Below are 22,577 nucleotides of genomic sequence, written 5' to 3'. Positions count from 1 at the left end.
TCATTATGCAGACAGTAATATCTAACACCATAAAATACTGAGATGGATTAAGGTAAGTGGCAGGACAGCAGTAAGAACATTAACCTAAAATTTGAAACCAATTTAAATAGTCTTTGGTCAGCTATACCATATAATGGATAAGCATGTCAGTTTCCTCCTTAAGTGAGCCAAGGCACTTTAGCATTACTTGTATCAGGCAGACATAATAGAAAAATGGATCCCGATTTAAAAGGTTTTCTAGAACATCCTTGATATTGAGTAATTTAAGTAGAAGTTATTCATTTCTTTTAAAGTTAGCCATATTTAAATCATGGCTCTAGATATATTTGTGGGCAAATTTCCAGACTTTCAGAGAACATGTGTATGTATACCAGTATCAGAAGGGGCAATGATTGAATTTGCCAAAATGTATGAGTGAAGATCTAATAATATTTTGAAGATGTTAAAAACCCTTCGAGAACATGATAGTGTGGTAGTAGGTCTGTTTGTTTTCCTGCTGCTGTTATTAGAAAAATGAAGTTGTATTTTGGTATGAAGCTGAAGGTTGGTGTGGGTTTTTGTGTATGACATAAGACTGTGGTTGGTAACAGGCATTCTTCTCCCTAAATTTTGGTATTGAAAGGATAACATATTAATGGGAGAGATTAGATTTTGCTTACCAAGAAGAGAAAATTTGATTGTACCTTCTCAATACTAATTTTCAGAATGGCTCATGTAAATGGACAGAAGGAATAAAATAAATTAGCAAACCACATGGAGGAGAACATCTGTTGTCCAATCTTACACTTGGTAATTAAGGCAAATAGACTCATTTATTTGCCTATTTTTTGGTACCAGTTATTTCTGAATGCATGGGAAAATCCATTTTGTAGCAATGACTGTTGCTTTTCCAAGACTTCGACTTTATGTTAAAAAAGAGAGAAAAACATAGGGCATGTATTTAACATTTAACATGCTTTCTTGAAGAAAATATTCAATATTTACAGAGTTTCCATAAATGAGTGCACATTAAAAGGGTTATAACCTTTTAGTTATGTATTATATTTTGCAAACATACATACAGAAAAAGACCTATCAACCATCTGACATGATTAAAAATTTTTTTGGTCCTCCATGTAGTTCTGAAAGTATGTTCCATATTAACCTAAGTGAAGTACATAAAAAAACTCAAGGTAGTTAAATTTTCAAAATGTTTAGCTTTTAAGAAAACTGGCTATTTATATCAGTTATGAATCAATTCTCTGTGTTACTCTGCCAGTGTAATAAAAACAAAATGTTGATTATATTTTTATCTTTTACTAGTTATCTTGTTTGTAATAAATTCTCTATTCAACTATTCCTAGAAATTTAACTTTAGTCCTTTCTCTTTGAGAGTGTAGAGAGCTGCTTTACCTTCTTCGATGAACTTTCAATAATGCATGGGCTAAGGGTGTAACCAGTACACCCATGTGTAAAAGAAAGGAAGCTCTGGAATATACTTCACAAAGTTGAATGAGAAAGACACAGAAAGCTGTTTAGCTTGGAAAGCTGAATAGGTAATGACTAGTAGGGAACCTTTAGAAAAGGGCTTGTCTTAAAACTCTTGGAAAAGTTACATTTGGTAAATTTTTAAAATTCCATCTTGTTATCTCCAAATTTTCAAAAGAGCTTTATTTATCACTACAAATTGTCTATCTGTACTGAGGGGAATTAAAAGACAGATGATCAAGTTTTTACAAATAACGTGTACCATCTCTATTTAGGAAAACCTGTTCTGGAAAAAAGTCAGAGTCTTTATATTGTAAACACAAGTTTCCTGTCGCTTGTCCTGCCATTTGTCCTTTAGCTTTCTCTCAACCGTTACGTTAGTGGGTTTCGCGGAAGAGATTTAGAACCAGCCAGAATCACTGTGCGGTTCATCTTTACATACGGATTTGAAAACTGTACCTCTACCCCAAATTAATGATACAATTCTTCATCTGAGGCCCACACTATCATTAGAAAATATAAAACAGGCCGGGTGCAGTGGCTCATGCCTGTAATCCCAGCACTTTGGGAGGCCGAGGCAGGTGAATCACCTGAGGTCAGGAGTTTGAGACCAGTCTGACCAACATAGTGAAACCCCGTCTCCACTAAAAATACAAAAATTAGCTGGGTGTGGTGGCGCATGCCTGTAATCCCAGCTACTCGGGAGGTGGAGGTTGTGGTGAGGCAAAATTGCACCACTGCACTCCAGCCTGGGAGACAGAGTGAGACTCTACCTCAAAAAAAAAAAAAAAAAAAAAAGATAAAGAAAATACAAAACGAACTAATATAGGTTGAATGCCCATAATGTAGTATTAACCACTTCATTTAATCTTCACAACTGTGAATTAGAAAGATTAAAAAACTACAACCAGTAGGGTGGCAAATCAAACCCAGTGGGTTTTATGTGGTAATTTCAGTTTTGCTTGTTTAGGATACTGTTCCATCTCATGTTTACTGGTACGAACATTCCAGTTTCCTTTGAGGAGCCCTTCCCCAGTTCCTTGTGATTTGGATGTATGGGTCCATACCATTATTTCACATGTATAACTCCACCTCTTCCCTGCAGATCTCCTCAACAGAGAGGCTTTTCACTTAGGCCTGACCAATCAGAGCCCTCTCTGAGACCTTATGTGCTTGAATTAGCAAAGAAGACTGGCTCAACCCCTCTGCAGTAGGAGACAATGAGGAAAACAGAGAAGGAAAAGAAAAAAAAAAAAGAGAAAAGTAGATATGAGACATTTCAGAGTGTAAAAGGGAAGGGAAGTCCTGGTTGACTTGAATCTCCAGCAGGACCAGGTTTATGGGCATGTCACATATATAGTCACACGCAATTCTGATCCTAGAAGGGCCCCCACACTTGGTTTCATGCTCTACCATCTAGAAATTCTTAATAATTTTTAAATAGGACATTTTGCATTTTAATTTTGCAAAGTGTGTAAGCAGGCCTCATCACCACCTCCAGATCTAGTTGCTTCTATCATGTGAACTTCCCAGGTATTTTTCTCAGTGTTGTGAGAAAATAAAATGTCCTATGTGCTTAAACTAGTTTGAGTTGAGAATTTGTGACTTGCAATGAAGCAGTTCTGACAAATACATCTCTGAACCTGCACTTTCTATCAGTCCTCAGGTTATGGTACTATCAACCCCTGATTATCTGTGAAGGATACATTATTCACTTATGAATAATTTATGACACAGTTCTAACACTAAATGTTATTTTCCTGCCATCTGTCATGCTTTCAGCTAACTTCACAACATCAGTGAGGTAGTCCATGGAATGAAAACTAACGTTAAGAACATCTTAAAATATATCTATTTCTTATATACATAAAGTGTATTTTAATATATAATATAAAAATAATATAAATATTTAAAATATAACACATTTGAAAATATATATTCTATATATTTGTGTATATATAACTATCTCATATATATGTAACTATATATCACATATATATATTTATATATTCTGATACCTATATAGCATACCAGAGAAAAACATACTGGAGAAAATTACAACACATACAAGAAAAAGTAGTAATTTTTTTATGTATATGTGTGTATGTATATATATGTGTGTGTCTGTGTATGCATATATATATTTGGAGACAGGGTTTTGCTCTGTCACTCAGGCTAGAGTGCAATGGTGTGCAGTCACAGCTCACTGCAGCCTCAACCTCGTGGGCTCAAGCAATCTTCCTACCTCAGCCCCACGGGTAGTTGGAAGTACAGGTGCATGCTACCATGCTTAGGTAATTTTTAAAATTTTTTGTGGAGATAGGGTCTCACTATGTTGCACAGGCTGGTCTCGAACTCCTGAGCTCCAGAGAGCTTCCCTCTTCAGCCACTGAAAATGCTGAGATTACAGGCATGAGCCCCATGCCCAGCCCATAATTTGTATTTTTAGAGTGATTTCCAGTTTATAAAATGCTTTTACTTACAACATATTACTATAAGAAGTTCGAGGCAGGCAGATCACAAGTTCAGGAGTTCAAGACCAGCCTGGCTAACATGGTGAAACCCCGTCTCTACTAAAAATACAAAAGTTAGCCAGGCATGGTGGCGGGTGCCTGTAATCCCAGCTACTCAGGAGGCTGAGACAGGTGAATTGCTTGAACCCAGGGTGCGGAGGTTGCAGTGAGCCAAGATTGTGCCCCTGCACTCCAGCCGGGGTGACAGAGCCAGACTCTGTCTCAGAAAAAAAAAAAAAAAAAAAAAGAAGTTTTCTGTTTTGAAATAAACTCATGGGTCATTGTTAGGTAAACTATCTATTTTGAAATTGGTACATTTTCACATTTGAATCTTTTGAAAATGAATGAAAACCATATCCCATTGCCATATAAAAGCATGGTTCATTTACATATGAAATTCAGTCTGTGGTTCTGGTTATCACATGTTAGTAAAGACACAGAGAAGTAGAAAAAAATTCATCCAAAATCAACCAAAACATCTGAAGGGGCTGAGTGCTGCTATATTGAGGTAGAACTCAAAGATGGGAATGCTTTCCACCAAAAGAATGAGACTGGGGGAGGACATGCTCAAAAGGCCTAAAATCGTATGTGTTAATTCGATGGAAAAGAACATGTACTTCAAATTCTGAATTATTAGAATGAAGTCTTGTGTTCTGAATTCCCAGTTTAGAAAGTTAGGTCCAACTAGAAGTACCATTTAATTTTAAAAAGCATTTGGTCAAATTTACTAAAGACAGAGGAATAGGTGGTTACCAAAAGAAAACAGACTATGCCTGAACATTAGGGTTTAACATACATTTGAAGGAGGCTAACACATGTTTGCACAGTCTTGTGGTTTTTAGGTGGGACCTTTGGGAGGTGACTAGGGCATGAAGGCAGAGTACTCATGAATGGGGTTGGTGTCCTTATGGAAGGGACCGCAGAGAACTTTCTTGCCCCTCCAGCATGTGGGGCTGCAGAAAGAAGACATGCGCCTGTGAACCAGGGAGCCGGCTCTCACCAGACACTGAGTCTGCTGGCACCTTCGTCTTGGAGTTTCCAGCCTGCAGAACTGTGAGAAGTAAGTTTCTTTTGTTTATAAGCTGCCCAGTTTATGGTATTTTACTATAACAGCCCACATGGACTAAGACAAGTCTCCTAGGTGTTCATATCTCAGAAGAACTTCAGCAGGGCCATGGTGCACCAGAATTGTCTTTTTAGCATCTTCAGTAGCGCTTCTCCTTTCTTCCTTTGCCAGCATGGTTTGTCCTTGCTCAAGACCACTTTCAGGAAACAGGTAAGTTGCAACTCTTTCTTGTCATAGTGAATGTTTTATTTTGTTTATGACAGTTCACTCTCTCCTGTTAGTAAGAAGTGGAAATTAGGTTTAGGGAATCATACAACTGAAGAGGTGAGAAACAGTTATAGAATGGCAAGACCTTAAAATGAATTCAGGATTTAGTAGCCATCTGAAGGACAATGGCAGATGGTAAGTTTAGAGGTGTACAAATATAATGGGAAGAGGTCAGGTGAATTTTGATAGCAATTGCAGAAGAACTGCGTGATAGGTATGAGGAATAACGAAGAGAAGAGAAACCATATGGTGAGATGATAATTAGGCTCAAGTATTTGTCTTTAAGAAAAGAAAAATATTGGAGACATATTTATGAAGACACAACCTGAGGTAAAGGAAAAGAATTACTGGAAAAGAGAAAAAGGAGAGATGGTGATATAGGTCTAAACTGAAGAGTTTTGGAGAGATTTTGCAGTAGAATTAAAGCTAGGAAAATGGAGGAAGGAAATACAGTTATACGTTGCTTAATGGCAGGGATACGTCCTGCAAAATGCATTATAGGTGATTTCATCATTACGCAAACATCATAGAGTGCATTTACACAAACCTAGGTCATACAGCCTGCTACACAGCTAGACTATGTAGCATAGCCTATTGCTCCTAGGTGGAAACCCGTACAGCATGTTACTGTACTGAATACTGTACAGTATAATATACTGTGAATACCGTGTAAATAATTTTATTTTGTTTACATACTGTGTTAATAAATTTACTTTATTTTGTTTGTCCTCTTGCTGGATCCCCACATGGTGGAGGGGCAAGAAAATTCTCTGAGGTCCCTATTATAAGGACACTAACCCCATTCATGAGCACTCTGCCTTCATGTCCTAGTCACCTGCCAAAGGTCCCACCTAAAAACCACAAGACTGTGCAAACATGTATTATCCTCCTTCAAATATATGTTAAACCCTAATGTTCAGGCACAGTCTGTTTTCTTTTAGTAACCACTTATTCCTCTGTCTTTAGTAAGTTTAGCGAAATGCTTTTTAAAATTAAATGGTACTTCTAGTTTGACCTAACTTTCTAAACTGGGATTTCAGAACACAGGATGTCATTCTAATATTTCAGAATTTGAGAGACATACAATTACAACACAGTGGCAAACGTGTGTATCCAAACATGCCTAAACATAGGAAAAGTAGAGTAAAAATACAGTATTAGAATCTTATGGGACCACCATCGTATTTGAGGTCTGTCATTGACTAAAATGTTATGTGGTGCATGACCATATGTAGTAAATTAAACAGTACAGAACTATGAATCAGGCTTAATTGTAAGAATAGTAGAATATTGTTTTACAATATATTCTGTATACTAATTCTTAGAATGAGAAGATTGAGACTCACCTGACCTATAAAATTAGCAATTCTGTATTTCTGAATCCAGGATTACATTATAACTACAGGGGACCATGACACATGTAGTTATGTCCCTGAAAAATTAAAGAGTTCCCAAAGAAATTATTTATGAGAGCTAATAAAAAACATTTTGACACTGAAAATAAACTAAGTAAAACTTTACTAAACTCAGGGGTTACTCCTTTACCTAGGCTAGGCCCAAGTTTGTTTCTTTTAAGGTCAACGGAAGGTAGGTTTCATGACATAAAGCAACTAGTTAAAAGGTTTTTCTGCTGCCAGTTTTCTAGTCAAGGCAATACTGCTACATTGCTTTGTGGCGGTTTCTCCTGGAGTGGTTTCCCCCTCTCATTCTTTTGAGGTGTTGGAGGGGTGTGAAGTGGAGTAGCTGGATTTTAAACTGTGGGAGTTACGTAGATGATTAGATATCCTTTTTACAGACAGCACTGTGGCAACAGCCTGCAGAATGCGTTGGAGGGATCCGAGCATAGCCTCAGAAAGCTGGGCTGGGTCACCTGTCTGGGGGAGCAGGGGCAGAGCCTGTTCTCAGGTGGAGCAATGGTGTGGAGAGAATGGATTTGAACGATATTAAGGATGAAGAATTGACAGGATTTAGAGGCTGGATGTGAAATGGAGCAGATTTCTGCTTAGGTAATTGGGTAGGCTATGTTGCTATTGAGTGAGGTGAGTTTATTGGGTGAGACAGGTGTAGGGGCAAAAATGCTGAGTTTACATTTGTAATGCGTTGGATTTTTAGATGTCCGTGGGATAGGCTCATTTTTTTTCTCCTTTCCGATTCTGACGGCAACCTCTGGTTAATATTCTTCTTTGCTGATAGATTAATATACTCTTGAAGTAAAAATTACCAGTTTTTTAACTCAGAAAACAAACAAAAAATAATCTCCTTCCTATTATATGTTAATGTAATTGGTTTAATTATCAGCGAGGCAACCTATTTCATTCCTCCTTCCCAGAGTTTTGGGATGGTACTACTCTTTGTTCACCCTATGCCACCTTGAATTAGGTGTAATTTGTCAAAGAGAGGGAAAAATCAAAGAGAACGTTCCGGATTTCTGCTTGGAATACTAAAGAACAGTGCTAACGCCGGCAGACACTGGCAATCGGGAGGGGAAGGTGATAGCAGTAGGACTGTGAGAGGTGGCTTTTTATGTTTAAATTGGGAAGATCCAAGTAGAATTGTAATTTCATAGAATGTCAGACTGCATGAGACTTTCAAGGTGAAAAAAAATTAACCTTTATTGAGTATGTAATATGTACCAAGTGCTTTCTCCTGTTTTGTAAATGGAAATAGAGATTCTCAAGGATAAGAAAGTAGCTCGAAGTTACCCAATTATTTATTTAGTGGGTTATTTAGGTGATTTACAGTACAGGGGGGACTATTACCCTTGAAAATTTATTATGAAAATTCACATTTTTGAGGTTATGAAAATTGGTTCTTAGGGGGCAAATAAATGTTCTCTTTTTAGATACAAAACAGTGGCATACATATAGTACCTAAACATATACAGTATATCTAAAGTAGTAAAATTTCATAGAGGAGGACAATTAAGAAAAATGTCTAAAAGATTTTTTAAAAGGCTGATTTATTTATTTATTTGTTTATTTATTTTGAGATGGAATGTCTCCCTTGTCGCCCAGGCTGGAGTGCAATGGTGCCATCTCAGCTCACTGCAACCTCTGCTTCCAGGGTTCAAGCAATTCTCCTGCCTCAGCCTCCTGAGTAGCTGGGATTATAGGCATGCGCCACCAGGGCTGGCAAATTTTTGTATTTTTTTTAGTTTTAGTAGGGACCGGGTTTCGCCATGTTGGCCAGGCTGGTCTCAAACTCCTCTCCTCAGGTGATCCGACTGCCTCGGCCTCCCAAAGTGCTGGGATTACAGGCATGAGCCACCGTGCCCAGCCCAAAAGGACGATTTTGAAAAAAGGTTAAGAAACACTGATTTGGCCGGGTGTGGTGGCTCATGTCTGTAATCCCAGCACTTTGGGAGGCCGAGTTGGGAGGATCACTTGAGCCCAGGAGTTCAAGACCAGCCTGGGCAACATAGCGAGACCCTCATCTCTAAAACTGAAAGAAAAAAGAAACACTGATTTATAACCCATTTCATTTAATAAAGGTTTTATTCTTTTTTGCTGACTTCTTTTTTTGTTTCACATGGTACCTCGTGTTGAATAATAAAACAAACAGGTAAAAGCAATGTCAGTTTAAACGTCCCTAGAGGGAGGGTCTAGAATCATACCACATGGATGCTTTTTCCCTCACCTTCTGCAGTGGTCCCTGAAGTACTGGTGTGAAAGCTTAGAGCTCTGAGTATCCCAGTTTGAATGTCTGGGGAATACAATTTGAACTCCTCATTTTCCCCATGAATAAACTGAGGCAGATTTGTCCTGAGTAAGCATTCACTCCTCCAGTTGTTTTATTATTTGGAAGGTGCCCACATAGTGGAACTAAATCAGGCTTTCTGTCTCAAAGCATTCTACACAAAGAGGCATACCATCCCACTAGAAGATGGGGAGAGAAAGAAAAGCCCAAGCAGAGGTCAGGGAGATAATTTTTAGAGAGATGATGAGAGAAATAAGTGAGAAAAGAGTCTCAAGAAGGATACTGTGATCAACAGCAGCAAATAAAGAGGGATCAAAGACTGAGAATGAGGCTCTGGCAGTATAAAATTATCTGGTGACTTGTGACTGCAGTGTCAGGACAGTGTGCAGGCACAGCTTGATTTCACAAGAAACTGTAAATATTTCAGACATCTCAGCAAAAAGGTAAGGACGCTAACTTGCCCTTGTAACTGTTGCAACTAATTACACGTTACTCTTTCATGACCCAAATATAAACAGCAATACCTTAATCAAAGCAAATTTAGTAAATAATTTTAAGTCTATTGTGTTACAATGGGTTCAAAGAACAAAACAGAAAGCAAATAATGCACACAAATGGACACCCTAAGGAGAGACGTAGATACAGACAGGTTTTATGTACATTTGATCTTGAGGAATGTCCACAACACAGCAATTCACCTGAGGATAAAAAGAAAAGCATATGTGGTGATGAGACAGAAATATAGATGAAAGAAACAGACAATTTGAAAATCTCTATTGGGCACCACAGAATTCTTATCGTTTATTTTACATTTCTTTTTAGCTTTGGGACATAATTTCTATTTGCTATTGTCAGACAAATTATTTTCCAAGTGACTCAACAAATTATATTTAGGTTTTAGTAATTGTGCTTTAAAGGAATTAAACTGTAATCTTACAAGAGTCTTAATAATTACCTAATTCCTTTTTTCTACTTATTTAATACTGGGAATACGATCTGGTAGTGACATCTAACACTTTCAACTGAACCTTAGTTAAGTATCTCACACTAATAGGAATATTTCTGTTCTCCTTTAAACGGCTCTATCATCTACAAACAGGGGCAGATTAATTTTCTAATCAAAACATTCTGGGAAACTATTAAGCATGACATTAAACTGTGTTATACTAATTACATTCCCTATGAAGAATTTCTATCTGAACTTAGAGCATAAGACCTTGGAGAAAACTTATCAGAGCACAAATTGCTTTAATGTATTTTAAGAAGAATCACATATCCATATAATAATTTAATAATTTTAATAATTTGGCTTTTTTTTGCCATCTCTTCCTGCTATCATTTTGCTTTTCAGATGTACCTTAAATCAACTTGGTTCTCCGCAGTGATTCATTATGATGGCAAGATATTTTTGACCTTGTTAAATAGGTTAAAGAAAAAAAAAGGATTAAAGCCTGTGTGGGTGTATAATATGGCAAAGGCAAGTACTTAGCTCCATTGTGAACACTTGTCCAAAATTAACATTTACTTTTTACTAGAATACTACTCTCATTGAAGAAAAAGAAATAACCAAACAAAAGTAATTGTGATACAATAAGGGAAAAAACATCCTTTAGCAGGGCTCAGAAAACATTTTCTGTAAAGGGTTTGATAGCAAATTCTTTAGGCTTTGCAGGCTATGTGATCTCCGTTAAAACTTCTTACCTCTACTATTGTAGAGCAAAAGCAGCTATAGACAATATATAAAGGAATGGGTGTAGCTATATTCCAATAACATTTTTTTAACAGAAAATAGCAAATCAAAACCACTTCACACACACTAGGATAGCTAAATTCAAAAAGTCAGATTTTAAAATATTGTTGATGAGGATGTGGTGAAATTAGAACCCTCATGCACTGCTGGTGAGAATGCAAAATGGCCCAATTCCTCAAATATAGGATTACTGTATGACCCAGAAATTCCTCCACTGCATATTGACAAAGATTCTTTCCTTTGACCAAATTTGAGTCAGCCTCCTCTGAGTTCCTTCTGACTAGGCTTGACCTTGAGCTTCCCTATCTGTCCTTGTAGAGTCCATATTGAGCAATAATCCTGCTAAGTCAGTGTATCCCCCACCACTGGTATCTTTTTTTTTTTTTTTTTTTTTTTTTTTGAGGCAGAACTTTGCTCTGTCACCCAGGCTGGGGTGCAATGGCACGATCTCAGCTCACCGCAACCTCTGCCTCCCAGATTCAAGTGATTCTCCCTGCCTCAGCCTCCCGAGTAGCTGGGATTACAGGTGTCTGCCACCACACCCAGCTAATTTTTTGTATTTTTAGCAGAGATGGGGTTTCACTATGTTGGCCAGGCTGGTCTCCAACTCCTGACCTCAGGCAATCCACCCACCTCGGTCTCTCAAAGTGTTGGGATTACAGGCGTGAACCACCATGCCTGGCCTGACTGTTTTTATCACTCTGGTCTGTCTTCAACAATAATTCTGTTGAGTCGGTTTAGCAAGAATCTCCTTACCCCTGATGTTTCCTCTTGGTAATTTTCCATCCACTGACCCCCCAACTCAGCTCCTTGGCTATAAATCCCCACTTGATCTTCTTGTATTGGAAGTCAAGCCCAATCTCTCTCCCGCCCTGCAAAACCCCATTGCACTGGTCCCTATGCTTGCCTTGATGGCAGTTTGTTGAATAAAGTCCACCTTACTTTCTTTAACAAGTGTCATGGATAATTTCTTCCTTAACAGTGTATACGTGACAGAAGTAAATACTTAGGTTCACACAAAAAGTTGTACATGAGTATTTGTAGCAGCATTATTCAAAATAGCCACAAGGTGGAAATGTCCCAAATGTCCATCAACTGATGAGTGGATAAGCCAAATCGAAGTGTTATGTCCATATAATGGAATATTACTCAGCCCCTCAGGGATACTTGGCAATGTCTGGGGAAATTTTTAGTTGTCACAACCATGGGTCTGGGTCTGCTACTGGCATCTATTGAATATAGGCCGGGAATCCTGCTAAACATCCTGCAATGCACAGGACAGCTCCCACACAAACAATTATCCAGCCCCAAATGTCAATGGTGCCAAGGTTGAGAAGCCTTAGTGTAGACACATACATTATGTGACTATATCAGTGGTTAGTCTTTGTACCTATTTTGCTTCTTTCCCATGTAACCTTATATTGTTAAACAGCAGCAATCTTAAGACACACAAGCATGTGGAGAGTGTGGAAAGTGCCATGCCACAAATCCTGTAAGACAAGTAACAGCATTATATCTTATCACTGAGGGTTTGAAATGGAAGGTGCAAAGTCAGTGCTGTTGGCAAGATAATATTCTAATACCCTGTCATTAAGCACAAAATGCTATAAGATTTGTGTTCAGTGAGGTATATTTCTGCTGTAGTCAGATGGTGAAATAATAATGAAAGTTGTGAAATTAAATCAATTAGGCATTGAATTAGACAGGTAACTGAATGGTTCTTCTTTTAATATACTGACCACTTGGAAAGCATGCATGGTAAAGAACTGAATTTTTAATCTAACCTGAAACTGGAAGAGTGAAATGTTTTCCTGTCTTTTGACTCTGTCTCTGCACTACTTTAAGGGAGAGAAGAAAAAGGGATGTGAGAAGAGAGAATAGAAGAAAGTGGAAAGGCAAGGTGGAGGGGAAATAATATATTTTATTATCCAGAATTAAAAATCAACTTAAAATCATCCTGAAAGGAAATTAATTATTTTATACTTTCTTACATAGACTTAATATCTCATCGTGGGCTCAATGCCAATAAACCAAGAATTTGTGGAGGAACAAAGTTAAGGGGCCTAGTTCTAAAGTGTCTATTTTTCTGCTAATTTGTGTATTGTGTTAAAAATTTAATATGAAGCATTTCCAACAAACAGAAAATAATAATATAGAAACCAATATCCCACCACTGAGATTAAATACATGTTAATATTTTGCTAGATTTACTTCAGATCTTTCCCTATTAATAAATAAAACATTTACAGATATTTTAACTATGAAGTTCCAGCTTTAATTCCTTCCCCTTCTTCCTTTTTTCTCTCAAAGTAGGTGAAGTTGTTGTGTATAATTCCCTTGTGTTTTTGCTGTGTTATAACATGCACTTACATATAACATATTATGTATATATACACACACGTATATATACAATTTTGTTTGTATGCTGTTTATATTTTGCGACTTGATTTTTCTGTTTTTGAGATGTATCCATATGTAGGTTTAGATATTTATTTTATATGTAGTGTAGAATTCCACTGTAACAGCTCTTTCACACTGTAATCTCTTGCTCTTTCCCTGACTATAGGACAGTTAGGTTACCCATTTTTGCTTCTATGAAGTGTTTAGAAAAAACTCTCAGCCGGGCGGTGGCTCACGCCTGTAATCCCAGCACTTTGGGAGTCCGAGGCAGGTGGATCACAAGGTCAAGAGATCGAGACCATCCTGGCCAACATGGTGAAACCCGTCTCTAATAAAAATACAAAAAATTAGCTGGGCGTGGTGGCATGCACCTGTAGTCCCAGCTACTTGGGAGGCTGAGGCTGGAGAATCACTTGAACCCGTGAGGCGGAGGTTGCAGTGAGCCGAGATCACGCCACTGGACTCCAGCCTGGCGACAGAGTGAGACTGTCTCCCTCCAAAAAAAAAAAAAAGAAAAACTCTCAAACTGTTTTTCTTCTGCTCATCAACAATCTACACACAAGACTTCTGTGACCCCAAAATATGTAAGGATTTCTCCCCACCAGCAAGCAAGCAATCAGTTCTCCTGTGGACACCAGCTGAGTGTCTTCCAATTCAGTTCTGATACTCCTTATCCAGAGATAGTGTCAGATCCCACAGGTTGAGGGCTCAGTCCTACAAGATTGCGTCCTCCTTCCCATCAATCACAAGTCTGGGCCTCTAGCACTTCTGATCCACTGGCTTCAAGCAGGGGTTTCCATTATACCTTCTTTGGGCTGGATTAATTTGGAGAGAGGCACAAAGAACTCAGGAAACACATTTTCTGGTTTATCATGAAGGAGATTTTAAAGGATATAGATAAACAGCCAGATGACAAGATACCTAGGGTGAGGTCTGGAAGGGCCCTGAATGAGCTTCTATCCCTGTGGAGTTGAAGTGCACCACCCTCCCAGAATGTGGATGAGTTCCTGTTCACCTTCCTGTCAGCCTCCATGTGTTCAGCTCTCTGAACCCTGCGTTTTATGTAGACTTCATTGGTTGTTCATGATTGAAGCATGGATAATTGTGTCGAAATGTGATTGCACAAAAGGGTATGCTCTAAACCCAGCAAGGCCTGTCTGTTCTGTTCAGATTTTCCTGGTCTCTCTGTGCAGCATTCCTTTCTCTAGAGCGTGGGGCAGGACTCTCTCTGGCCTGAGGGTCTTATGACCCACCATCAGATTAGATTCCTGTCTTGGGCAGGTGAAAGGAGAGCAGAAGTTCCCAGAGAGAGATTCTGTTCCCTGAGGCCTACTTCTGAGGCCTAAAGCACTCTCACATTATAACAAAAGGCTGTAACAAGAGTTATGAAACTTATGAACTAGGAACCATGGGTGAAAATCTGTATCTATATATATATACATATATAGATAATCATAATATGGCAGAAGTGTTCAAGAAATATCTTTGTAGGTGTATGTTTGGGCTTTTCCAGGGAGACATCTAGACATGGAATTGCAGGGTCATAGGTACACATACCTTCACCTTTACTAGGTATTACCAAGTTTTTGTCCAAAGTGCCTATACCTGTTTTGCACTTCCACTATCTATCTAGGAATTCCCAACTTGGCCCAAACTTGGAAACATGGAACTTTGTAGTATTTGCCAATTTAATGAGGGTAAATGACATCTCATTTAAAAAAATTGATTAAGGATAATCACTTCCTTCCCTCAGCTTTCAACAACTTTCTCATATGGTCCATAAGAGTGAGCCATCAAAAGAAAGGCATTAATAATTTTCTGGATGTTGACACTGAACAGAAATGATAAAGGGAAGAAATATATTCCTAGATTCCAAGCTTTTCCAGGCCTTTTTTTTCACCTTCAACTTTCTATTTCCATGACTATTGACTCACTGGGGTGTATCATCTCGCTGGGTGATCAAAATGAGGGTCAGTGCATGCTGTTATGAGGTTTAAGTATGTTGGGGCACACATATAAAATGTACTTTAAAAAACATAAAACTTATACAAAGATATTTTCACTAGTACACTGAAGTTCCAGTGCATTTCTATGAGAAAAAATTCAGAGTGCTGTACGTAAACTTGAAAATTAATTATCATGGCTCCTGTTTACTTATATTTAGTACCTTCTATGTGGCAAAGACATGAGAAAGAAAGGAGCAGTCCCTGACATCAGGGAACTAGTTTGACACTTATAGCTAAGCCTCAGTGTTTTTAGAAACTGGCCTGACACTCATAGCTAGGCCATGTTGTTCTCCTGATGAACAGCATCTCACAGAACAGCAATATCAGACAGGGTCACTCTGTGACCATGATGAAGTGAGACAAAACAAGATCACTTCCATGTTTTGTCTAAGCACAGACAATAACAAGGTCAGTATGCAAATCAGAAAATATCAATGTTAAATAAATTCATGGGAAATGATTATAGACTAACCTTAGTTTTGGACTAATCTGCTGCACTAGGCTCCGGCAGACCAGACCAAAGCAGAATGGTCCCTCATGCGTATTGCCACATAATCAAAAGCAACTCTGAAACCAGCCAGTTTTCCAAAAAGCAGGAAATTCATAGCACCCAATCAGAAGGGGCCAAGTTTATCTGAGCTGGTATGCTAAGAAAGTTCCCCTGTTTTAACCCTATAAGGAAAGTAACTTTGAAACAACTCATCTGCTTCTCATTCCTTATTTCTGTTCTCTAGCTTTTTTCTGCCTATAAAGCCAACCTCCTCTGCTTAGCTCATTGGAACAGATTCTATTTTAGAGAATGAAGTTTTGCCTATTCTGGAATTGCAAATAAAAGCCAATTAGATCTTTAATTTGTTTTGTCTTTCAAAATCAAACATTCCCCTCTCTCCATGATATGGATGACTAATGCTTGTCAGTTACAGCTTTAGGCTTGTCTTTTAGCCTGCCATCCTCCTAGATAAGATAATCACTGAACTGTCTCCACTTCCTGAAGGCACTTAATCTTGAGCAACCCTTCCCACCTCTTTCCACGGAGTCTTTCCCAAATCACCTAATCAAAGCCCAAATCCTTTAAGTGCTTTCTAATACCATTTACCTAAGACACTTCATGGCTCCCCATAGTGCATGTTCTCCCTCCCTGAGTAATAATCCCAACTTCTTCAACTACAGTATTCCTGTAGGAGCATTGACAAAACTCTAAGGGCTTTACATATGCTATGTTATTTAGGCCTGAAAATGCCCCTCTTTCATAGGTATTAGTATAATTACCCCCCTTTTGTAGATGAAGCAGCAAAGAAAGTTAAACGTCATCTCCGGTATCAAATAGCTAGTAAATGGCAGGAATAAAATCTGTATCTGGGTCTGTCATCAAGATATAAGGAACTACTTGTAGTTCTCCTGACCTTGCTGTTCTCCTGTAAGTTTCCCTAAAGATTATGTGCTCTTTGAGGACAGAGCTGTAGAGTCTGGCACAGTAAAACAAATATTAAAAAAGAAAAGCTGTAGTGTGAAGACTTACTGAGAACTAAGGCTCATTTTTTGAACCTCTGTGCCAAACTCCTCAGAGTACCTAGAGTTGTTTCTTGTACCAAAATCAATACTGCATGTTTCCGAGTCTTGGCCTACACCACCTCCATATAATCAGAAGACAGATATCTTAAAGGAATAGTTCCAAGGAAAAGCTCATTTTTAAAGAGGGTATATTGATGTGTTGAGAAAACGGTGTTTGCCTTGTAGCTTGACCTTGGGTTTACACAACAAACTCTTTTGCATGGTTTCAGTTCAAGGCCCTTTGTTATGTGACCTTAAAGTTTCTTCACCTCTATGCTTTCTTGGCCTTGCTCCTGCCTGGAATGGAATGCCTTTTAAATGAATGCCCTGCCACTGTTTCCTGCCTAGTGAAAACCTATGCAGCTTTCCTTTTACCTTTCCAGATCCACTCCTTCAGATTTAATAACTTCCCTTTTTGTTCTCAAGGAACTTCTAAAACAACTGCTATAGACATTTACATTCCTTGGTTAATTGTGTTAGGGTTTGGAAACTACAGGAGACTGTGAGCTCCTGAAGGGCTCAGCCTAGCCTAGCTCTGTCTGATTTTGGGTGGACCCCTCTGCCACCCCAGAGCGAGCACTTAGGCAGGAAATATGTCCAGAAGGCTTCCTTTTGGAGCGTCGTGGGCCCCGTCGTTTCATCCTGCCTAGTACCCCTTCCAGCACCGTACCCAGTCCCAGAACTACTTTTTCCAGCCCCAGACGTGCAAGGAGAGGGCTAGCAGATGGTTTTATATCCCAGCGCTGCTCAAATGGTGGCGCAGGGCCTGTCTCGCCCACCTTCCAGTTCTGCTGGAACCCTATCTGCAAATCCAAAGAAATCCAGGCCGATGACTTCCTCCACGGTCCCCGGCGCTTCTCCAAATCTGACGCCACTCTGCGTCCTTAAGGTGAGCGGCCTGGACCGCCGGAAGGGTTGAGCGGCTGCATAGACAGGCCGCAAGGCCAATCATGTTTCGCAGTGCCCGGAAGGGGCGGTGCCTCAGCGTGTCATTGATCCGGCGGCGCGGGATTGGCCAGTCCCGGGCCAACACGGGTGGCGGGAGTTTTCAGATGTGTTGGCTGCGGCCCCGACTTCAGCGGTTGGGCTAGGCTGTGCTGACTGTTTGGGTGGCGGACCCCGGGAGTAAAACCTGTTGTCGATCCCTCAGCTTCCAGCTTGCGGCTTGCTGAGTGGCCACCTTCTTTCCGGTCCCCGGAGCTGCGGGGAAAGATGGAACGGCACCAGCCGCGGCTGCACCACCCGGCCCAAGGCTCAGCCGCTGGGACTCCCTACCCTTCCTCAGCCTCTCTCCGCGGCTGCCGGGAAAGCAAGATGCCGCGCAGGAAGGGCCCCCAACACCCTCCGCCGCCCAGTGGCCCCGAGGAGCCTGGGGAGAAGCGCCCCAAGTTTGTGAGTATCGCCTGGAGCTAGGGTGGGGCCGCTCCCGCCCCGCCGTAGGGCTGACTGCCGAGGGTGGGCCCACAAGAACTTGGGGACCAAGTTTTATTCTAGAGATCCAGAGGTGCCAAAGATCATAGATTGACAACGACCGGGTCTAGTTGTAGTTGGATCCTGTGACAAATGCCCAGATCTTTGTGTTGCCCCCAAATTTCTTAACGCTGATGTGAAAAGCAGTTCAAACGTGTATATGTATTGACGTCATCTAGGTGGACATTGCATTTTTTAAGTCGAAGTTCTCCCTTCCTCCCTAGTGTAAGAGGGTATAAGATATATCAAAATGAACTTTTAGGTGACAGGTTTTTTTTCTGCTTATTATTTTAATAAGAACTTTTAATTACATATAAGAACTTTTAAGGTAGATATAATTTTCCAAGTTGAAACAGCTAGTTTTAGAACTTGGCGGGTGGTGTGGTCACTGCTAAAGAATGTTTTGCTTAGCTTGGAAAGAATTCTAAATATTTGAAACTTGCTATTCTGGTTTGCTTGTGTTTAACACTTAAGGAAAGTGTCATGATTAACACCTTGTCTTTTCGTTGGTGTCAACTAGTGAAAGTATAGGCAGTGATGATTATTTTGGGGTTTGTGTGTGTAAATAAATCACATAGAGGGTTGATAGATTTGGGATGAGTCCAACAGAATTGAAATTTCACATTGACCACTCCACCATTTTCCTTAGGAATATGGAAAAACTGTGTGTGTGTGTGTGTGTGTGTGTGTGTGTGTGTGAGAGAGAGAGAGAGAGAGAGAGAGAGTACAGCATTTGCCTTATGTGGGCAAGTAAAAATTGTGAGAAATTTAAGTCATGATTCACAAATTAAGGGAATAATGGTTTGTGAACCAGTTGCTAACTATAACATTTAGTTAAAAATAATAGTTGAATAAGACTGAGAGCCCATATTCTGATACATGAGATATATCAGAATACTGAAAATGAGAAACAGCATAGATTAATTGAAAATGAGGAACAGCATAGATTAATTATGCCAAATTAAGTATCAAAATGGTCATAGGAATAGTGACATTTTGCAGAAGGATCAAGTATGGACTTGATCATTATCTTGACAAATCTGAAGAATGAATAGGACAGAGTTAACTTCCCAATGAAAGATTTTTGCCTAATGTGAGAAGAATCCACTAAGGCAATGACTTTTCTTCCTTTTATAGTCTACTCTCTGGGTTAATAATCTTATTTTATTTTGTTTTAACTTCTGTGGTCCAGAATACAGGAGGTGTTATTTTCTGTGACTCATTCCCAGCAAGGAGGTCATGAAAACAGGATCTAAATTAGTATTTATGTTAAGTTTCATTGAAGGATTTCATCATTTGGTTTCCAGTCTCTGTGCTGTTTTTCATTCTTATGTATGTCACATTGACCATCTCAGCATGCCATTTGTTAAATGGATTCTCATAAAGATGAAATGACATCTAAAAGATAACACTCTTAAGCTGTAAAGGTAAAAAACACATCTAAAACACTGTGTTTTTGGGTGGGAGTCTGGTATGAATCATGACTTCCAGTTAATTTAGAAGTAATTTGGACTCTTGGTACTTTGAAACTAATTTAGGTTCTTGCTTATATGGTAATTTCTTTAGTTATATCTTCCAGTTCATTAATTTTGTTATCAGCTATGTCTAATCTGCTACTTTTCTGAATATTTGATTTTAGCAATTATTTTTTATTTTAATAAGTTCCATTTGCTTATTTTTCAAATCTGTCTGGGCATTCTTGATAGTCCTTTGTTTCTTATTCATTTATTTCTTTAGACATTTCCTACTTGATTGTTCTTATTCTTTATTTGACAGTTCTGCTGTTTGCAACCTGGGCTGTCTACATTGACTCAGATTCATGATGGCTTGCTCTCTTTCTTGTGTGTATTTATCTTTGTAAGCTCATTGCTTTATCTTCACCTGTAGGATTCCAGAGATGCTTTTCTTTGGAGATAGTTTGAGTTTGTCTGCCAAGGAGCCTGGGCATGCTACTGATTTTGGACCACCTTCCTGTTGAACTGGAAATCTTAACATGGGCAGAAGTTCCAGGCACAGCTCTACTCTGTTCCTGTACTAAAGTTCAGTATCCCAGTCTCAAGACTGCTTCCTGAGCAGCTCTTCCCAGTTTGCCTACCTTTCACTGCTCTTGATTGCACACCAGTAACTCTTGTTTTTTGGATGGAGAGGGATCTTTGAGACCATCAAAGTTCCCAGCAATGCCTCAGAAAGTAATTGTACTTGTAGGTGTCAAGTCAGTCACTGTTCTTGCAGATGTCAAGTTAGTTCTTGGCTTTTTCTTGATTGGATGAAGTGACGTTATCCTAAATCTTTTCAGGTCACCCAGTCATTATCTGAGCCTGGGGCAGCTGTTTTTGATGGGAACAAGTAATATAGGTTGGTGATGTGATGGATAGGAGTAATTTAGGTGGCCAGTGTTTTGCACACTTCTGCAAAGCAGCAAGCGAGTAGTAGAATGGAGTGGTAGACTGGTCACTCCCTCCTATCTTAGTGTAAGAAAGCAGGAGCTCTGGTACCCGCTGAAATCTTGTTTTACTTTGAGTCCTGTTAAAGTTGGCAAATTCTTGTTTTCTACCAAATGTATAGTTGCGGGCTTCAAGTCACTTGTGAGTTGGGTAAAAGAGTTTGTAGCTTAGATATCTCTTCCCATAGATAAGTATAAATAGTAGAAATTAGTCTATTGTAATTGTATGATACTTTGGCTGTGCTACGAATCAATTGACTTTGGGATGCTTGTGAATTAACCAACTTGGTCTCATTTGAAAATATCTTAAGCCGTGAGCATTGAGATGGTAGGGATAGCTACTGGGGCATAGAAGAGAGATGGAGGAGGCTGAGAGGACAGGGCAAGTATCTGGGTGGAGACTTTGTGAAGGCAGATAAAATTCCGTAGGAATTAAACTTGGAACCTGCCCTAGGCCACACTCAATACCTGGACCTGAGTCCTATATCCTTTGTAGAACAGAACAGTTGTCCTACAGATTGTGGAAAGCCTTTCAGTAATACCTGTTTCTCATTACTCTTGGCAACACACAGGTAGTGGTGGCAGAGCAGGACATGTGGCTTCTAGAAGTGTCCATCTCTAGGATGTAGGTCAGTCCATTCAAAGGGAGCCTGTAAATTGGTGGTCCAAGTTGATGAAGGAGTTCTTTTTAATTAGGAGAGTCCTCTAAAAGTTCTCACAGACTTCAGTGTAAATCGTCTAATCGTTTCCATCAAATAGATTGTTAATTATTGATTGATTATGTCATTGTAGTACCTTCAGTGTTGGTTTTGAGATTTTTCTTTTCTTTTTTTTCTTTTTTTGAGACGGAGTCTTGCTCTGTCGCCCAGGCTGGAGTGCAGAGGCGTGATCTCGGCTCACTGCAAGCTCCGCCTCTCGGGTTCATGCCATTCTCCTGCCTCAGCCTCCCGAGTAGTTGGGACTACAGGTGCCCACCGCAACGCCCGGCTAATTTTTTGTATTTTTAGTGGAGACGGGGTTAACCGTGTTAACCAGGATGGTCTCGAACTCCTGACCTCGTGATCCGCCCACCTCGGCCTCCCAAAGTGCTGGGATTACAGGCGTGAGCCACCGCGCCTGGCCGGTTTTGAGATTTTTTCACCTTGTCCTTTAATTTCTGTATATTTACCATGTTTGGGCATTGATGGTAATACTAGTTAACCTTTCTGAGTGAGCCAAGCACTGTTCTAGGTGCGTTGTAATTATCAACTCCTTTAATTCTTAGAACAACCTTGTGAGGTAGGTAGTATTATTAATCTTGTTTGCCATAGGAGGAAACCAAGGTACACAGAGATTAAGCTGCCTAAAATCACACAGCTGCCAGTTCATGAGGCTGAGATTTGAATCTAGGCAAGCTGGCTTCAGAGTATACATTCTTTCTTTCTTTCTTTTTTTTTTTTTGTGAGACAAAGTCTCATTCTGTTGCCCAGACAGGAGTGCAGTGGCACAATCTTGGCTCACTGCAACCTCTACCTCCTGGGCTCAAGCAGTTCTCCTGCCTCAGCCTTCTAGTAACTGGGATTACAGGCACGTGTCACTACGCCCGGCTAATTTTGTATTTTTAGTAGAGATGAGGCTTCACCATGTTGGCCAGGCAGGTCTTGAACTCCTGACCTCAAGTGATCCACCCGCTTCGGCCTCCCAAAGTGCTGGGATTACAGGCGTGAGCCATCGCACCTGGCCTAGAATACACATTCTTAATCACTGTCCTGAATTCTCTCCCATAGCTGTTGGGAACTTTAATCTTTACTGCTTCTTTTCTCATCCAGGAACCATTAGCAATAATTAGTGATGCCTTTAATTAATATATAATATGAATATAGAATTGATTTTCTGATTATAGGCAGGCTGCGAGGTGAGAAGATATACAAGGTTGGAGAATTTTTGTTGATTGTACACGTAGTAGGAA

General features: G+C 39.6%; 1 protein-coding gene and 1 long non-coding RNA gene across 17 annotated transcripts in view, besides 2 other annotated features; one reads left to right on the top strand and one right to left on the bottom strand.

Moving 5' to 3' along the window:
• Positions 1–9,548: 9,548 nt before the first annotated feature.
• LOC105370227 (uncharacterized) lies at positions 9,549–17,638 on the bottom strand. The gene is made up of 2 exons (XR_942001.2): positions 17,496–17,638; positions 9,549–9,707 (listed from the first exon to the last, which is right to left on the bottom strand). It is a non-coding gene; the product is annotated as an uncharacterized LOC105370227 (long non-coding RNA).
• Positions 15,946–16,240: an enhancer, noted in NCBI's record as "tiled region #11905; K562 Activating DNase matched - State 2:TssF". NCBI's record gives its function as "activates a minimal TATA promoter and a strong SV40 promoter by Sharpr-MPRA in K562 cells {active_cell/tissue: K562}" and the evidence as "EXISTENCE:reporter gene assay evidence [ECO:0000049][PMID:27701403]".
• Positions 17,329–17,378: an enhancer, noted in NCBI's record as "active region_7799". NCBI's record gives its function as "activates an Ori minimal core promoter by ATAC-STARR-seq in GM12878 lymphoblastoid cells {active_cell/tissue: GM12878}" and the evidence as "EXISTENCE:reporter gene assay evidence [ECO:0000049][PMID:35858748]".
• The window catches only part of DIAPH3 (diaphanous related formin 3), a 498,346-nt gene continuing 493,535 nt past the window's right edge, over positions 17,767–22,577 (top strand). For all 16 annotated transcript variants that reach the window (XR_002957478.1, XR_002957480.1, XR_941672.1 and 13 more), the window contains exon 1: positions 17,767–18,108. Coding sequence is in view for 11 of the 16 variants with exons in the window: in NM_001258368.2 (NP_001245297.1) it covers positions 17,929–18,108 (180 nt within the window). In the remaining 5 variants the exon portion in view is untranslated. The remainder of the gene's footprint in view (positions 18,109–22,577) is intronic.

This window comes from Homo sapiens, chromosome 13 (genome assembly GCF_000001405.40).
Source record: "Homo sapiens chromosome 13, GRCh38.p14 Primary Assembly".
Lineage (NCBI taxonomy): Eukaryota > Metazoa > Chordata > Mammalia > Primates > Hominidae > Homo > Homo sapiens.
Note: the sequence above shows the minus strand (reverse complement) of the source record. Positions and strands in the feature narration are given on the sequence as shown.